The 16,789-nt window shown below is 35.9% G+C and overlaps 2 annotated features.

The window, feature by feature from the left end:
* Positions 10,180 to 10,796: an enhancer, noted in NCBI's record as "OCT4-NANOG hESC enhancer chr6:95996896-95997512 (GRCh37/hg19 assembly coordinates)". NCBI's record gives its function as "activates a minimal SCP1, AML or CMV promoter by ChIP-STARR-seq in naive H9 embryonic stem cells {active_cell/tissue: H9 hESC(naive)}" and the evidence as "EXISTENCE:reporter gene assay evidence [ECO:0000049][PMID:30033119]".
* Positions 14,936 to 15,136: a silencer, noted in NCBI's record as "peak5965 fragment used in MPRA reporter construct". NCBI's record gives its function as "represses an SCP1 promoter by STARR-seq MPRAs in K562 erythroleukemia cells {active_cell/tissue: K562}" and the evidence as "EXISTENCE:reporter gene assay evidence [ECO:0000049][PMID:32103011]".

Below are 16,789 nucleotides of genomic sequence, written 5' to 3'. Positions count from 1 at the left end.
AAAGTTAATGTTTAAAGACATCCATTTATCCACCTGGATAAACATGGTCATTATTTTTTAAATCAAAGTCCCAAGAGCTCCATTTCACAACCTGAAACTATTTAAAATCATGTTAGAAAATTAAATAGTAAGAAAATACTAGAAAAAATCAGAAGAATGAGTAGAATCATAGAGCTACAATAATTAAAATAGGATGGTTTGGGGGGAAGATCAGTAAGTTAGATCAATGAAATTGCATAGAAAAGCAAGAAATTGATTATTATATTTCTATGGGCACGTGAAAACTGTGGCATTTCTAATCACAGGGGAACTTATAGATTATAAGATAAAAGACATTAAGCCTATTGGATAACTAGTTTAGAGAAAAGAAAATTCAGTTACGATCTGACCTCAAGAAAAAAATGTAAATAGATTAAATATGTATATGTAAAATCAAAAAAATCATGAATATATAAATAAAATTCGATAAGTGTTTCTATATTTCAGATGTGGGTCTATACGGTAATTTTATAATAAATCAATTAAAAGATATACTAAAATCATTTTAACTGGGTGAAAACCATTTTCACTCACTTAATTTTTTAAAATGGTGAAATCCACTCATAAACAGTAGCCAGAAATCAAAGTCAGAAGGCTAATATGTATTTAAAAAGCTAAAGGGTTAGCTTTAGGAGTGTCCAACCTATGGAGTCACACAGGACCATAGTTAATAATGGCCTCATACTTGGTTTGATATTCTGCTGTCACAGTCTTGAAATCCTTAACAATTTTTGAACAAAGAGCCCTGGATTTTCGTTTTGCACTCAGTCCTGCAAATTAGGTAGCGATCCTAGTTAACCTTCCCATATACTGAGTGAAATACAAACTAAAACCTGAATTTAAAAATTGTTTTTAGGTTGAAAACAGTAAAATAAAAACACTTATTTTTTTTACTTGACAACATCAAGAATGCAGAAAAAGAAACACTCATATACCTTTAGTTCAACCATTTGCAAATACTCAGGAATCATATATCAAAATTTAAAGTGAATACTTTTTATTGAGCATTTTTTTCTACAGGAATACATCTACAGGAACTAATTGAACCCATACATAAAAATCAGGATATTTATCACAGTATTGCTAATAATAACAAAAATATGTGAACCAATCTAAATGTTCATAAAAATTGGTTATATATTGAAGGATACATTTCTGTAGTTTCATTTATGCTTCAACCTTAAATGTGATATAAATATACGTATAAACACACACATTTGAAATGTAAAGATGTACAGTAGAGTGATATGGAAAGATACTCATGATTCATTGTTACGTGGAAAGCCAACTATGTAACAGCAAAGATAGTGAAATGCTACAGGTAGCTGTACAGAACTTTTTATATATAGGTATAAAAATGTGTGAAAAGAAAAACAAAGATATTTTTATCCAGAATTACAGGAACTTTTATTTTCTTGTTACAATTTTAGATAGCCTTCCTTTTAACAATGGGCTTTTATTTCTATTAAAATAGAAAAATAAATCAGCTTGAACTAATAAGAACTGGGTCATTTATGGCTGTGATCATTTAAATATTTATATAAATAATTTCCAAAAATAGTTATTTTTTTTATAAAACAAAGGAATTAATGTAAACAGTTTGGAAAGAAAAGTTAAATAACTTTAAAAAGTTATGTTGTTGCAAACATGTCAATTATACAGCTAAAAATTGGGGGGTGTAAGTATAAGTATACTAGTTTCCTAATCTTAAAAATCAGCAATTACATCTATACTGCTTCAGCCCTGACACAGATAGGTAGAAGAATATAGGTTTCATTTTATTTTTGCAAAGCATAAAGGCAGTCAAATTTACAAAGATTTGGAGAAGCATAGAAAATAATTTCAGATGGTACATGATTATGAGATAGAAACGTGAGGTAGTATGTCTTGAACTGGAGTGAAGAATAGTACTTAATGTGAAAAATAATAATTTATACAGATTCAAATTCAATTAAAAAGGAAACCATATCACACTTAATGAACTGCAGAAAATTTTAGTCTTTCATCTAAAATGAGAACACACAGAATGTAGCTGAATCCAGACGATGTATTACAGTCATTGAGTTAATTCTCTATGCTGATTAAAATAAAGACATAATCTCCCATAAATTGCTTCCTGATATTCCTTTAAGTTGTTTTACTCGAACGAGATTTAAGATGGAGAAATATAGCAGACATCTAAATGCAGGACCACCTGCAGGTTGAGTCTCAGAAGTCTGATGAGTAGAGATACTTTAGTCAGGTGTCTGATGCAAAACATCACATTTCTATCATCATTTTCAACTGGAAAGGGGCTTCTTGGAGGTAATCTAGGACTGTATGGTAGTCAGAATGAAAAGTAACATAATACAAATTTCATCTGTATATTTGAACTATTAAAATTTACTTTAAAAAATTATTGGATATTTAGTCATCTTGCCAAAATCACTTAAAGTATATTAAGTTATTTTATGCACTCTTTGGAAACATTTTTACCTATGTAATCAAAGTGGTAGAATAAGAAACATTATATAAAAATTCAAAAGTTGAATCCACTTTGTCTGTATTCATTATATTGACAGCTGGATAAAATAAAATAATTAAAGAACTTATGCCTTTCAGAACATTAACTAACAGTTTCTAACTGCTTCAGTTATTCAAGATAAGTTCTGGATATCTATACAGCATAGTGACCATAGGTAGCAATACTATTTTATTGTTAAAATTTATTAAGATAGTAGGTCTTATGTTAATTCTTTCTAACACACAAACACACACAGATTAATAAAAAGGAAGTGGGAAGAAACTTTGGGAGGTGATGGATATTTATAACCTTGAAGATGGTGATGCATCATGGATGTATACTTACTGCTAAACTTATGAAGTTGTATATGCTAAATACGTACAGCGTTTTACATGTCAATCATATGTCAATAAAGTGGTTTAAAACAAAAACAGAAACAAATCTACATTAATTGTAAATGCTTATAAGTTATCAAAAGCAATACTGAATTAACGAGTGGTGATTTGTGAAAAATGTTTTTTTTTAATGAAGCTGACCCTATACATAGGTGGATGCTTTAGTGACAAAATTTGTTGATGCTTGCGAAAACTTCAGACGATAGGTGGCCAAATGAATAAAAAACAAAACTGCTGCTGATTTTCTTTAGTGGGTTTCTGTAGATCATAAGCATAAGGAGTAGCCGTTGTGTTTTTTAAAAAATTCAGATACTCATACTGAATGGGCAAAAGCTGGAACCATTCCCCTTGAAAACAGGCACAAGACAAGGATGCCCTCTCTCACCTCTCCTATTCAGCATATTGGAAGTTCTGGCCAGTACAATGAGGCAAGAGAAAGAAATAAAGGGTATTCAAATAGGAAGGAGGAAGTCAAACTTTGTTTGCACATGACATGATCCTGTATCTAAAAAACCCTATAACTCAGCCCCAAAGCTTCTTAAGGTGATAAGCAACTTCAGCGAAGTCTCAGGATACAAAATCAATGTCCAAAAATTGCTAGCATTTCTATACACCAACAACAGTCAAGCAGAGAACCAAATCATGAATAAACTCCCATTCACAGCTGCCACAAAAAGAATAAAATACCTACGAATACAGCTAACCAGGGAAGTGAAGGACCTTTTCAAGGAAAACTACAAACCACTGCTCAAAGAAATCAGAGATGACACAAATGCAAAAACATTCCATGCTCGTAGATAGGAAGAATCAATATCGTGAAAATGGCCATATTGCCCAAAGCAATTTATAGATTTAATGCTACTTCCATTAAACTACCATAGACATTCTTCACAGAATTAGAAAAGAACTATTTTAAAATATGGAACCAGAAAGGTGCCAGAATAGCCAAGACAATCCTAAGCAAAAAGAAGAAAGCTGGAGGCATCATGCTGCCTGACTTCAAACTATCTACAAGGCTACATTACCCAAAACAGCATAGTCCTGGTACAAGACTAGACACATAGACCAATGGAACAGAGTAGAGAACCCAGAAATAAAACCAAACACCTACGACCATCTGATCTTTGACAAACCTGACAAAAACAAGAAATGGGGAAAGGATTCCCTATTTAATAAATGGTGCTGGGAGAACTGGCTAGCAATATGCAAAAAAAATGAAACTCGAACCCTTCCTTATACCATATACAAAAATCAACTCAAGATGAATTAATGACTTAAATGTAAAACCCAAAACTATAAAAACCCTAGAAGAAAACCTAGGCAATACCATTCAGGACATAGGCATAAGCAAAGTTTTCATGACAAAGATCCAAAAAGCAATTGCAACAAAAGCAAAAGTTGACAAATGGGATCTAATTAAAGAGATTCTGCACAGCAAAATAAACTAGCACAGCAAAATAAACTATCAACAGAGTGAACAGACAATGTACAGAATGGGAGAAAATTCTTGTAATCTATTCATCTAACAAAGGTCTAACATTCAACATCTACAAGGAACTTAAAACAAATTTACAAGAAAACAACAGACAAGCCCATTGAAGAGTGAGCAAAGAACATGAACAGACACTGCTCAAAAGAAGACATGCATGCGATCAACAAACTTATGAAAAAAAGTTCAACATAACCTATCATTAGAGAAATGCAAATCAAAACCACAATGAGATACTATCTTACACCAGTTAGAATGACTATTATTAAAAAGTTGAAAAAACAACAGATGCTGCCAAGGTTGTGGAGAAAAAGAAACACTTCTACACCGTTGGTGGGAGTGTAAACTAGTTCAACCATTATGGAAAACAGTGTGGCGATTCCTCAAAGACCTAGAGTCAGAAATACCATTTGACCCAGCAATCCCATTACTAGGTATATACCCAACGGAATATAAATTATTCTATTATAAATATACATGCAGATGTATGTTCATTGCAGCACTATTCACAATAGCAAAGAGATGGAATCAACCTAAATGCCCATCAATGATAGACTGGATAAATAAAATCTGGTACATATATACCATGGAATACCATGTAGCCCTAAAAATGAACCAGATCATGTCCTTTACAGGGACATAAATGAAGCTGGAAGCCTTTATCCTCAGCAAACTATCACAGGAACAGAAAACCAAATACCACATGTTCTCACTTATACGTGGGAGCTGAATGATGAGAACAAATGAACACATTGTCAGGGGAACACACACTGGGGCCTTTCGGAGGGTGGGGGTAGGAGGAGGAAGACCATCAGGAAGAATAGCTAATGAATGCTGAGCTTAATTCCTAGGTGATTGGATGATCTGTGCGGCAAGCCACCATGACACACGTTTACCTATGTAACAAACCTGCACATCCTGCACATGTACCCCAGAACTTAAAATAAAAGTTGGAAAAAAAATTCAGATGTTTAGGCCCTTCTTCAGAATTACCAAATAGAAATTTGTGGGGTAAGACCTAGGAATCTGATTTTTTTTGCCCAAACCTTACCAAATCCTTGAAGTAGCCTTGTACATTAACCTCTGGGAAGTGCTGCTTATAGGGTCATAGGCAAGAATCAAGGGGAGAGGAAAAAGGAAAGTCATGGAGGAGTAAACAAGGGTCATCCGTTGGTTCTTTGAGAGCAGTTGACTTCAGATGTCTCATATGCCATGCTACATTAAGTCTCAATTCTTTGAAGACAACATGATGAGAGTTAAATGGAGAGTTAGGTGCACAGAATAGGGTGAGGGTGGAGGGTGCAGGAACCTGCTTTATCAGCAGTTTTGCAGACAAAACTTAGGATGGAAAGTTAAGAAATTTCATTTATATTCTTACTTCCTACATGAATTTTGAAAAAAAAATCATTTCACTGTTAGCTCTAAAGGAATAAAAAATAATAGTTGCACCCTTCCAGCCTCAGATAAATATTCATATGAACAATTAAGAAATATTTCAAAGAACTCTGGCATATCTTCAGAAATGAGACTCTCTTCACAGGCCTACAACTTGTTATTATATTGTTCCCTTTCACTAAACTATTCTACGCCCTCTCCCTTTTCTTGCATGTGAAGTAAATATTGATAGATTTCCTCACAAACTAACACTATTTTCACAGAATACCTAATATTGTCACTAGACATATAATTAATAAGAAATATTTAATATTATTGGTAAATTGCTAACATTTTATTTCCACTTCATGTTCACCCCAATTTTTCTTTATTGAGCAAATATGCTTGAGTCTCTGTTCATTCAAGATACTGGTAGACCCTAGTCAAGAAGTGATGTGCTAAACAGACATCATCATGAAGTTTACAGGATAATATCAGAAACAAACATGAAACAGATATTCAAACAAATACATTATTCAAAAAGTTAATGCTGCCAACAAAAAGTATAGGGTGCTCTCAGAGAATCTAATCTGCAGGGTGCTAATAGAGTAATCTAATAAGGAAATCAGTAAGGAACCTCTTAGAGGGTATGCCATTTGAGGAGGATAAAGGATAAATTTGTTAACATTTGCCCACAAGAATTGAAAGCAATCCAGACAGAAGAGAATGTAAATAAAAATCTTGAAAGCAGTCCAGTGTGGATAGAGCATAAGAGAGAAAGTAGCTGGGAAAGAAGCTGAAGATGAAGATGAGTGACAGCATAAGCTTAAAGAATATGTGAGGCCAGGCATGGTGGCTCATGCCTGTGATTCCAGCAGTTTGGGAGGCCCAGGCAGGAGGATCTCTTGAGCTTAGGAGTTCAAGATCAGCCTGGGCAACATAACAAGTTCCCGTCTTTACAAAAATTTTTGTAAAAATTAGCCAGGCATGGTGGTGGCTGTGGTCCCAGCTAATTGGGAGGCTGAGGCAGGAGGATTGCTTAAGCCAAAGAGATCGAGGCAGCCGTTAGCTGTGTTTGCATCACTGCACTCCAGCCTGGGCAACAGAGTGAGAACCTGTCTAAACAAATTTTTTTTTTAAATAATAAGTGAAAGAAGTGGGAAGTCCCTTAAGGGCTTTAAACAGAGGAGTGACTGGATTTTTTGACTGCCCTATGGAGAAGGAATGAGGCAGGAGCAGGAATAAACAGGGAGAACATTGGAAGCATTTTTATCCTAGGTAAAGGATAACAGTGACTTGATGTAGGGTCTTCTAGTGAAGTTCATGAAAATTGGTCAACTATAAAATACATTTTGTGGCCAGGCATGGTGGCTCACGCCTGTAATCCTAGCACTTTGAGAGGGCTCACCTGAGGTCAGGAGTTCAAGACCAGCCTGGGCAACATGGTGAAACCCCATCTCTACAAAAATACAAAAATTAGCTGGGTGTGGCGGCGGGCGCCTGTAATCCCAGCCACGCAGGAGACTGAGGCAGAAGAATTGCTTGAACCCGGGAGGCAGAGGTTGCCGTGAGCTGAGATTGTGCCACTGCCCTCCAGCCTGGGCGACAGAGTGAGACTGTCTCAAAAAAAAAAAAAAAAATTTTGCATGAGAAACCACCTAAATCAGTGATCAGTTGGTTGTATGGTGGCTGGAACGAGAAGGACCTAGTATAACCCAGAGATAAGAATACTGACCTATCTGGAGTTTTCTTATTTTTAATATGACCATGTATGGCTGAACAACGGGTTTGAATAACCCTAGAGGAACCTTGACCTAGAGATGAGCCTAACCATAGTGGTGAAATAGAACTTGCTGCCAGGAGTTAGGAAAAGTGCATTTCAGGACATAGAGTACAGTGTTGAAAAGGAATCACAATAGATGTTAGTTTTGGAAGCTGTGGTGTCAGAGACAAAGCGTGCTGTTAGGGATGCATTTAGCAATCCTGGATGGGAGGCAGAGAGGCAGGCAAGAAGACAGACAGACAGGTGGCATCTGAAAGTCCCCCTCAGACCAGGCAACAGGCTTTGAATGTCAAGGCAAGACTACAATCCCTCTCTTTGTCGCAAGCGTGGGTAAACCCAGAGGACCTAAAGTATTGGGAAACTAACCAAGAGAGGGAATTGAATCCACAGAGGGAAAGGCAGGGGCCCAGTTCTTCAGAGCTTCATGTGAGAATGAAGGCAAGACAAATTTCAAAACAACAGCAAGACCAGTGGCACAGATGACAAAGCTCAGTGTCAGATGGTTGGACTAGAGAAAACTATCTAGGTAAATCTTGCCCTAGAACCTACAGGGCTCTGGATGGGGGTTAGGAAACCCCAGCTGTTAGAGAACAGGGAGCAGAGGATAGACAGACACCTACAAGTGAAAAATACTGAAAGAAAAAACTTCAATTAATGGGTGATACTGACACTTATTATGTCTCTTGAGGAATATTAAAAGAGTAAACCTACAGATCATTAGTCTGCATTGTTCTGCCACAGACAGTTTCTTGCCTCAATGCCCAATGTCTGTACTAACCACAACACTAACCTTTTAATCCTCTAATATTGTGGAAGGAGCTGTTTTCTAAAACGTTTAAGACCACCATATCATCCAGTTTGTCCCATCTGTGGCTCTTTCTGTTCATTTAAGAAATAAAATGATCATTGTTTTATTCCTGCCAATGACAGACATGGAAGGCAACTGGTGCTCTCTGCTGAGGCATGTGGCAGCAGCAGTAGAAGGTACTGTGGTTGAAAGAGCTGCAAAGCCCTGTATTCTGATTGCTCCCATTTCCCTCTCAGCGTATCTGAAGAGCCAGAGAATATTTCCAATCATCGAACTATGAATTATCCTTTTCAAAAGACTACCAGACAGCCAAAAAAGATAAATGTCTTCTGGACATAAGAAATTTTGATAGAGACTCTGCAGGTCCATAAACTCTCTGGCTCAAAATCCATGTGAGGGGAGGTTGTAATAGAGTCAGATGGTCTATAATTTCACCCACAATGTTTATGGAAAAATATCTTGTTTGGATATATATTTTCCTCATCAGGATAAGCAGATATAAAAGATATGTGAGTATATTGGCAAATGCTACATAAAAGAAATATAGCAGCATTTAAGCTGCAAGGACATACCTTGGAAAAGGTTTATTATCAGAAATTTAAAGCACATTTTTTAAAGCATCTGCTTGTGTCGTTAGTACAATTTTTAAAATATGGTCTCTGGTACAAAAAGAAAATACAAGATGAAATATCAACAGATTGACAAAAGAAGGATGTTAATTGAAAGGAGGAAGGTAAAAATTGAAGTGACAGATATAATAACAAGAACTCTCTCCATGAGGAAAAAATTACTGAAAGATGTACATATATACAGCTAAGAGATTAATTCACATAAAAGACTAAAGAATGCTCAGTGTTAGACATTATAAATGGTGAAATCAAATAAATTGAACTAAATATTCTAAATAGGTTTTGAAACAAAATACAAAGGAAATTCATAAGATAGAATATATAACATGTGAAAATGACCATAATAATCTACATCTCAAATTTCTGATTATAAAAACCTCGTTTCACCCAACTGAGAGGTGAATGAGAGCTAAAGGAAGCAAAGTAAAATAATACTAATATTCAGAATTCTATCAGGTGGTATCAAAGCATTATTTGGTTTGCGAAATTGATCATTGGAATTTATTTTTAACTTTTATGTATCTGTAAAATTTTAAAATAAGATATATATTATATGAAGCGTTAGCAATAAAGGTGAGAACATTGTATTCCATAAGGATCCAGATAAGAAAAAGACAGTAAAGAAGCGTTTTTTAAGTTAAAATTGAAAGGGCAAATGAACAAAGTTTTCAGATATAACAACTTAAAAGTTTTGAATTTGAATGGGTTAAACTGTTCTATTAAAGATCAGTCCAATTATATGTGGTTTCCAAGGGACGTACCTAAGGGAATATGACCTAGAGAGGTAAAAAAAAGGAAGAAAAGAAAAATAGAAAAAGAGACTGGCATAGATACATCATCTAAAGGCAAACAAAAGAAAGATCATAACATTAAAATCAGCTGTATCAGATTTTGAGGCAAAGAAGTCATCATAAATTATAAAAGACTTCAGTTTTATGTTTAAAAATGATATATCCACAATGAAGATATTAGAATCATAAACCTTTATATGAAAAATAACATAGCTACAAAATACTTAAAGTAAAAGCTGTGCTATACAATTTTACAAAATGAAGTTAGAAAAGAAAAAAATTTAGCTTTGAAGAAACATCTCCCAGGTTTTGAATACTCATGTAAGAAAAAAGTAAAAAAGTAAAGGCTATATACTATTCTAATTTATAGATTTTTAAAATAAAGAGATCAAGTATATTCCAAATAAACAGAATATACACTTTATTTTAAAAGCCAATGGATCTTTTGTAAAAACTGGTCATCTAATAGGCCAGAAAAATGTTAAATCAGTTACAAAAAGAAAAGCTGAAGTTGTACACGCCATGTTATTAGATCACAATACAAAATAGCCATTAATAGCTAAAGTTAAAAAGTAATTATTTGGAAATAAACAATGCATGACTCATTAACACAGATCAAAGGGGATTACAGATTCTTTACAAAGCAATACAAATGACAATACTTCATTAAATATTTGGTAGAAGCTTTATGCGCATAAACTATCTGACTCAAAATCAGAGAGGTGGAATGTATTAGCAATAGGTAGATAGTGAATAAGACAATGACAGTGCATCTATAATGTTTATAACAAATACCATGTGTGGATATACTTTTTATCATGGAGATTAAACAGATTTTTAAAAAATGAAAATTTGCATTAATATAGTAAATATAGCACCCACTCGACCACCAAATCTCGTGCAGAGAGTTTTTAAATGCTTTCAATACAAAAAGAAGAAATAAAAGACATACGTACAAATAAAACCCCAACAGAAATAAATTAATCATTCAAACAACCTAGTCAGTTTAAAATGTAGGTTTCATTATTATTCAGGTATTGTGACGCCAAAAATCAGGAGACACTGGCCATTGTATAGACAGTTTGTTCCCAAGAGGAAGGGGTATGCCATGCCACACAAGGCCATGCTGGGAAGCACCAGATTCAGTCAGGAGGCAGAAGGATTTGAGGGGTGATGGAGAGCGTGAGCAAGAGCCTTTATTTTGGTTTCTGCAGCAAGGTAAACAGGTTTAGAATTGGCTTGTTTAAATAATCCCAGCAGACTCTGGGGTATAGGAACTGTCCCTAGTTGTCTAGTATTTGACTCTGGAGTGATTAGGGCAGCGCATAGTGGCCCTGAGTGTGACAGCCTCCTAGAGGAGGTTGTGGGGTGTGAAAGCTCTGCATTGTTGGTTTGCATATGAATCTCACAGTCCTGGGCCAGTCATTTACTATGTAGGATATGGCTACATAGGAGCCAGGAGATGGCTAGTCCTGGAAGGGGTAGGCTTTCCAGGATCAGCAAAACCCTGAGATGTCAAAGCATCAGAATTGCAGGAAATGGAAAGGCATGACTTCATACACTGTTGAACCCAGCAGGTGGTTGAAAGCAGGGTTCCCCCTGCGTCAGGGACCCATCTGGCTGTGTTTCTTTATCTCCCTTCCATAATCATGACAGATGCTGTGACACACTGATACATTCCTAGTTAGGAATAAAGAACTTATTACCAGAGCTGCTGTAAGTGCTGTCAGTAGACAAGTCTCAGCTGAAGAGTTTCCTAGTCCGCATCACTCTTCCTTCCTAGGTGGGCCTCCATCCAATGATTAATCTGTGTAGGACAGGGTTTCTCAATTTAACATTTTGAACAGGATAATTTCTTGTGGTGAGGGCCAATCATGTGCATTGTAGGATGTTTAGCAAATTCCCTGCCCCACCCCCCAGACTAGATACTATTAGCACCCACCCCAGTTATGACAAACAAAATGTCTTCAAACACTGCCAAATGTCTCCTAGGGGGCAAAATCACCTATGGCTCATAATTAATGATGTAATTGATTACATATATTACATTAATAATTACATATATTCAATGACATGTAAATACTTTCAGATTTATATTCCAGCCCAGATCTCTTACCTAAGCTTCAGCCTCTGTATAGCTCACTCCCTATTGCCCATGACATTTTATCAAAAGACTTTACATATTTTATGCTTAAGAATATGAATTTTAGAAGTGGCTGCTTAAGTAAACATCTCATTTACTAGCTTTGTAACATTGAGGTTCTACTAAGCTTTTGTTTCCCTCAGTTTTCTTTCCTCATCTATAAAATGGACACAATAATAGGATCTGCCTCATAGGTTTGTTGTGAGAATCAAATTAATGCATGTAAATACTTCAGAACAATTCCTGGCATATTGCTAGTTTTCAATAATGCTAGCTATTACTATTAGTCAAGTGGTGTCTTGCAGGTACGAAATGCAGTGTGTTCAAGTCCATCTAAATTCCTGATCTGCCAACCCTGGTCATTTTTCTGTATTTAGTATTTCACTAAATGACACCACCAATCACTTACTCAAGCCAGGTGCTTAATCAATGTTACTATTGATTTTTCCATCTCCTTCAGCAACTGCCTCAATCACAAAATCATATTGAATCTGTATTCTTAGAACTGGTTGAATTTGTCAATTGTCTTCATCTCAATTGTCACTATTTTCATTAAAACGTGCTTCTTATTACAAGAACTATTGAAGAAATTGAGAACATGGACTCTGGAGTCACAGAGACTTCAGAATTAGGTTTAAAGTCCAATTCTACCAGCATCATGATATTAAGTAAATGACATTTTCTCTCTTTATCCATTACTCTATTTGTTTAAAACAAACAAACAAAAACAAAACAAAACAAAAGTGATAATGCTTGCATTAAAGAAATGCAAAGAATATTATAAGGAGCACTCTTTGTGTTACCCTAACTTGAAATAAAACAAATAACCATTAATAAGAGACTGAATTAAATAAATTGTGACATTTTTATATAATAGAATACTGCATAGTAATGAAAAGCAAATGGCCACTGCACAATCTTAGAGAATGTTGAGCAAAAAAAAAAATCAAAAACACACAAATCAGTAGGTAGTATTTATAAAAAATTTGAAATAGGAAAGACCCAACTGTATTGTTTAGCAATGTGTACTTAGTGATAAAACTGAAACAATATGTAGTTGTGATTATTATAAAAGTTAAAGACAGGCACAAGACTAAGGAATATTGAGGAGTCTTAGTTTGGGAAGTAACAGCCTGGAGGCTTTGGAGGTGATGACAGTGTTCAGTTTCTCAATCTGGGGGATGGATGCATGATGATTTATATATACATACTATATTTTACTGTATTTAATATTTTGTGCACCTTTCTGTTTGTGTTGTGTTTCATAAATTAGAAATGGTTAGACAAAAGGATAGTGGTAAATGAAAACAATATATAAATACAGATATTTTAAAAAGGTGATTAACACATCACCTTTAACCACATATATAGATACATACATACATACATATGTATGTATAAAGCTTTTGTGAATGAAGAGTTACTATTAAGCCTGCATATCAAGACTGCTTCAGAAAGATCTTAGATTCTCATAGGACTGTTTCCATGGAAACAGTAGTTTTAAGACAAATGAGGAATGTTTTGACTGGCTCATTTGTTTTGCGGAACACAACATCTGCCTCAGGTTAGAGGGGCTGTGAGTTTTCATGCACATGGGCTTTGAGCCTGTGGGATAACTATGGTATAAAAAGTTGGTGGGAAATAGAGGCTGTAGCTTCCATGTTTCAAGGTTGCACACACATCTTGGCAATCATTTGTGGCAGCCATGCATACATATGTGTGTGAGGATGTAAAGGAAATCTTTTTTTTTTTTTTTACTACTTTTTTGTACTTGGGTAGCTGCTGAGATGAGGTGATGATGAGATGAAGATGGTACACCTGTTTCATGTATTGCCTATTTCCTTCTATAATGCTAAGTAAACAGTATTATATTAAAGCTTGCCTGTGTCTCCTGACTCAGCTTGCTAGCCGAAGACAAATGCTGTGCTAGACAATGGTGTCAGAAGTAGCCTTGGCTTTCAGGCCCTTGAGTCAAATCATTGTGATGCAGGAAATAGGACAGGATAGGGTTGGGGAGCAGATTTTGATGAACATTTCATGCCTGGATGGCTGAGTTACCTAGATTTATCTCCTAGGAAACCGTTAAAATGGATAGTCAAAGAAAGGCAAGGGGAGGGGGCAGTTAAAGATATAAGAAAAGGGTGAATCAGATACAGCTGTCATTAGGTGGCTGTTAAGACACAGGATGAAAAGATAAGAAATTTATTGTTAAGACACAAGATGAAAAGATAAGAAATTTATTGAATTATCTGAAAAGATTTACTGGCTCATTATCACCAGTTGGGAAAAGGAACATTTGCTCCGTATCTGCCAGCTGCCTTCCTTAATGAATCCCATGAGATATGATCCCTTTAAGCCAATCTGTGTGAGTTTAACCCAGATTAGTCAGTCCTTTCTCTGGGAATAATCTGGCCTAGGGCCACTAGAAGCATTTCACAAACAGTAAAGAACAAATTGTCCTGACTCGTTTTTACTAGTAAAAGAGGCACAAAGGCTCAAAGGGCTGTTTGGATTCTGGAGGACACATACGTTGGCCCCAGTATACAAAGAGACTAGAAAAAGAAATGGATTTGAATGAGATCCAGAGAAGAAGGCAAGTCAAGCTGTCCCTTTGGTATTATGTTTTATAAACCTGACATTACCAGTAGTTTTAGAGAAGTCCACTACTAAAAAATCCAATGATGCTGTAAGAACAAAAGTTGTGAATAAACTTTGTGCTAAGAAAAGTGCTGAATAAAAAGTGTGCTAAATAAACACCATTGGTAGAAACAGTAGAAACCAATAAAGATTAACTTGAAGGCTAGGATATTTTGTCCTATCCCACAGATCAGTTCAAAGACCATGTGCTTTGGTTAAAGTCGAATATCCTAGGGTTGGTGAACAAAACATTTTGAGACAATTGAATATCGGTACATAAAGTACTATAATACATGTAGGGAGCAAAAACACAATGTTAAGAAGCCAAAGAGGAAGCTAAGGGCTGGGGTGGGAAGGAGATACTGTGAGGGAAGACTCCAAGGCCCTAGTAGAGCACCAGAGAGGAACATGATAAGGAAATAGTGGAAATAGATAAGAATAGTGCTGCTATTCTCTGCTTGAATGAATAACTGGAAAGGTTATGAAGCAAAAGCAGAAGGTCTTGCCCTTCTTAGTGGTCTATAGCTGAATGCTAGGGATTTGCCCTTTGCCAGGTTTTTATCAGATCTGTTAAGTGGGAGGCTTTACAATTGCCCTTTTCTGTAGTAAATACTAAACTGCATCATTTTCCAGGAAAGTAGCAGGAAATCTCAGTCATGATTAAAGAGGTCGTGGAAACAGTTGTGCTCATCCCCATCAATTCTCTTCACGTTAGTCCTGTCTGTCCTGTGAGAAAATGCAGAATTAAGTGAAACAATTTTCCCCAAAGTCTCTGTTATGCCAGACATGATTAAAAACTACCAGGAGGTTCGGCAGGGAATGTGCTTTGATAATAGAATCTGGAAAAAATGCCAAGCATCATTTTTATCTGCATGAGAGATATTTCATTACATATACTTTACTATCTTCCTCTAAGGTTATGCACATTCTCCAGGATTTAGCTACTGCCCTATAAGACAAGATTTGAGTCTCTTCATTTCTGAAAGCCCATTGATTCATGAAGCTGATGATACGATGATACCTCCCCTCTCAGAAAGTAAGCTGAGAATGGAGGCAAGGAGGATTTACAAACAATAGCTGCAATAGGACTAGATAAGGATGTCTAAAAAATCTGATTAAGATTCAGGACCCAGATTGGTCAGTCTTTTCTCTAGGAATACTCTGGCCACTAGAGGCACTTCACACACAGTAAAGAACAAATTGTCCTGACCCATTTTTACTAGCAAGAGAGGCACAAACTCTCAAAGAGTTGTTTGGATTCTAGGACACATATGCCATATTTGGAAATCCTGTTGGCCCCGATATACAAAGTGACTAGAAAAAGCAATGGATTTGAATGATATCCAGAGCAGAGGGTAGGCCAAGCTGTCTTTTTGGGATTTTATAATCCTGATACAACCAGCAGTTTTAGAGAAGTCCACTACTAAAATACACATAGACTGGAGTCCCTAGCCAAAGCCTTAGAATGCTACTTATAGGTGGTTGCAGGAGTTCTGGACTAAAAAAAATTCATGATATTGTGTCTGAGAACAGCCTATTTGAGATACAGGCATTAGCATGCTTTTTGGCTCTAGTAAGAAACAGCCCTCATACCCAAAGAGCATCAGATTACATTGCATTACCTATGGTGACTTGAGGCTTGAGTTATCTACAGTCTCATGGGTGATATAAAAAGAGATTCCAATAGAAAGGGAGTTGTACAACAAGTTCCCTGGTAAAATATGAATGATATATGATACAGTTTGGCTGTATCCCCACACAAATCCCATCTTGAATTGTGGCTCCCATAACTTCCACATACTTTCTCATAATTTCTACATGTCGTGGGAGGGACCCAGTGGGAGATAACTGAATCATGATAGCAGTTTCCCTATGCTATTCTCATGATAGTAAGTTCTTATAGATCTGGTGGTTTTATAAGGGACTTCCCTCTTCACTTGGCTCTCATTCTTCTCCTTCCTGCCACCATGATTTTAAGTTTCCTGATGCCTTGTCAGCCATGCTGAAAAATTAAACCTCTTTTCTTTATAAATTATCCAGTCTTGGGTGTGTCTTTATTAGCAGTGTGAGAACGGACTGATAAAATATATTTGGGAACATGCTAAAAAAGATAGACTCTGAGGAAATGCACTCTATCCATGAGCAGGTAACATCTCTGCCTCTACAGTGGCACTCTGGAGGAGCTACCCACTCTTATT

The sequence above is a fragment of the Homo sapiens genome, chromosome 6, assembly GCF_000001405.40.
Source record: "Homo sapiens chromosome 6, GRCh38.p14 Primary Assembly".
Lineage (NCBI taxonomy): Eukaryota > Metazoa > Chordata > Mammalia > Primates > Hominidae > Homo > Homo sapiens.
The sequence above is the reverse complement of the archived record's forward strand: the minus strand, read 5'-3'. Positions and strand labels throughout refer to the sequence as shown.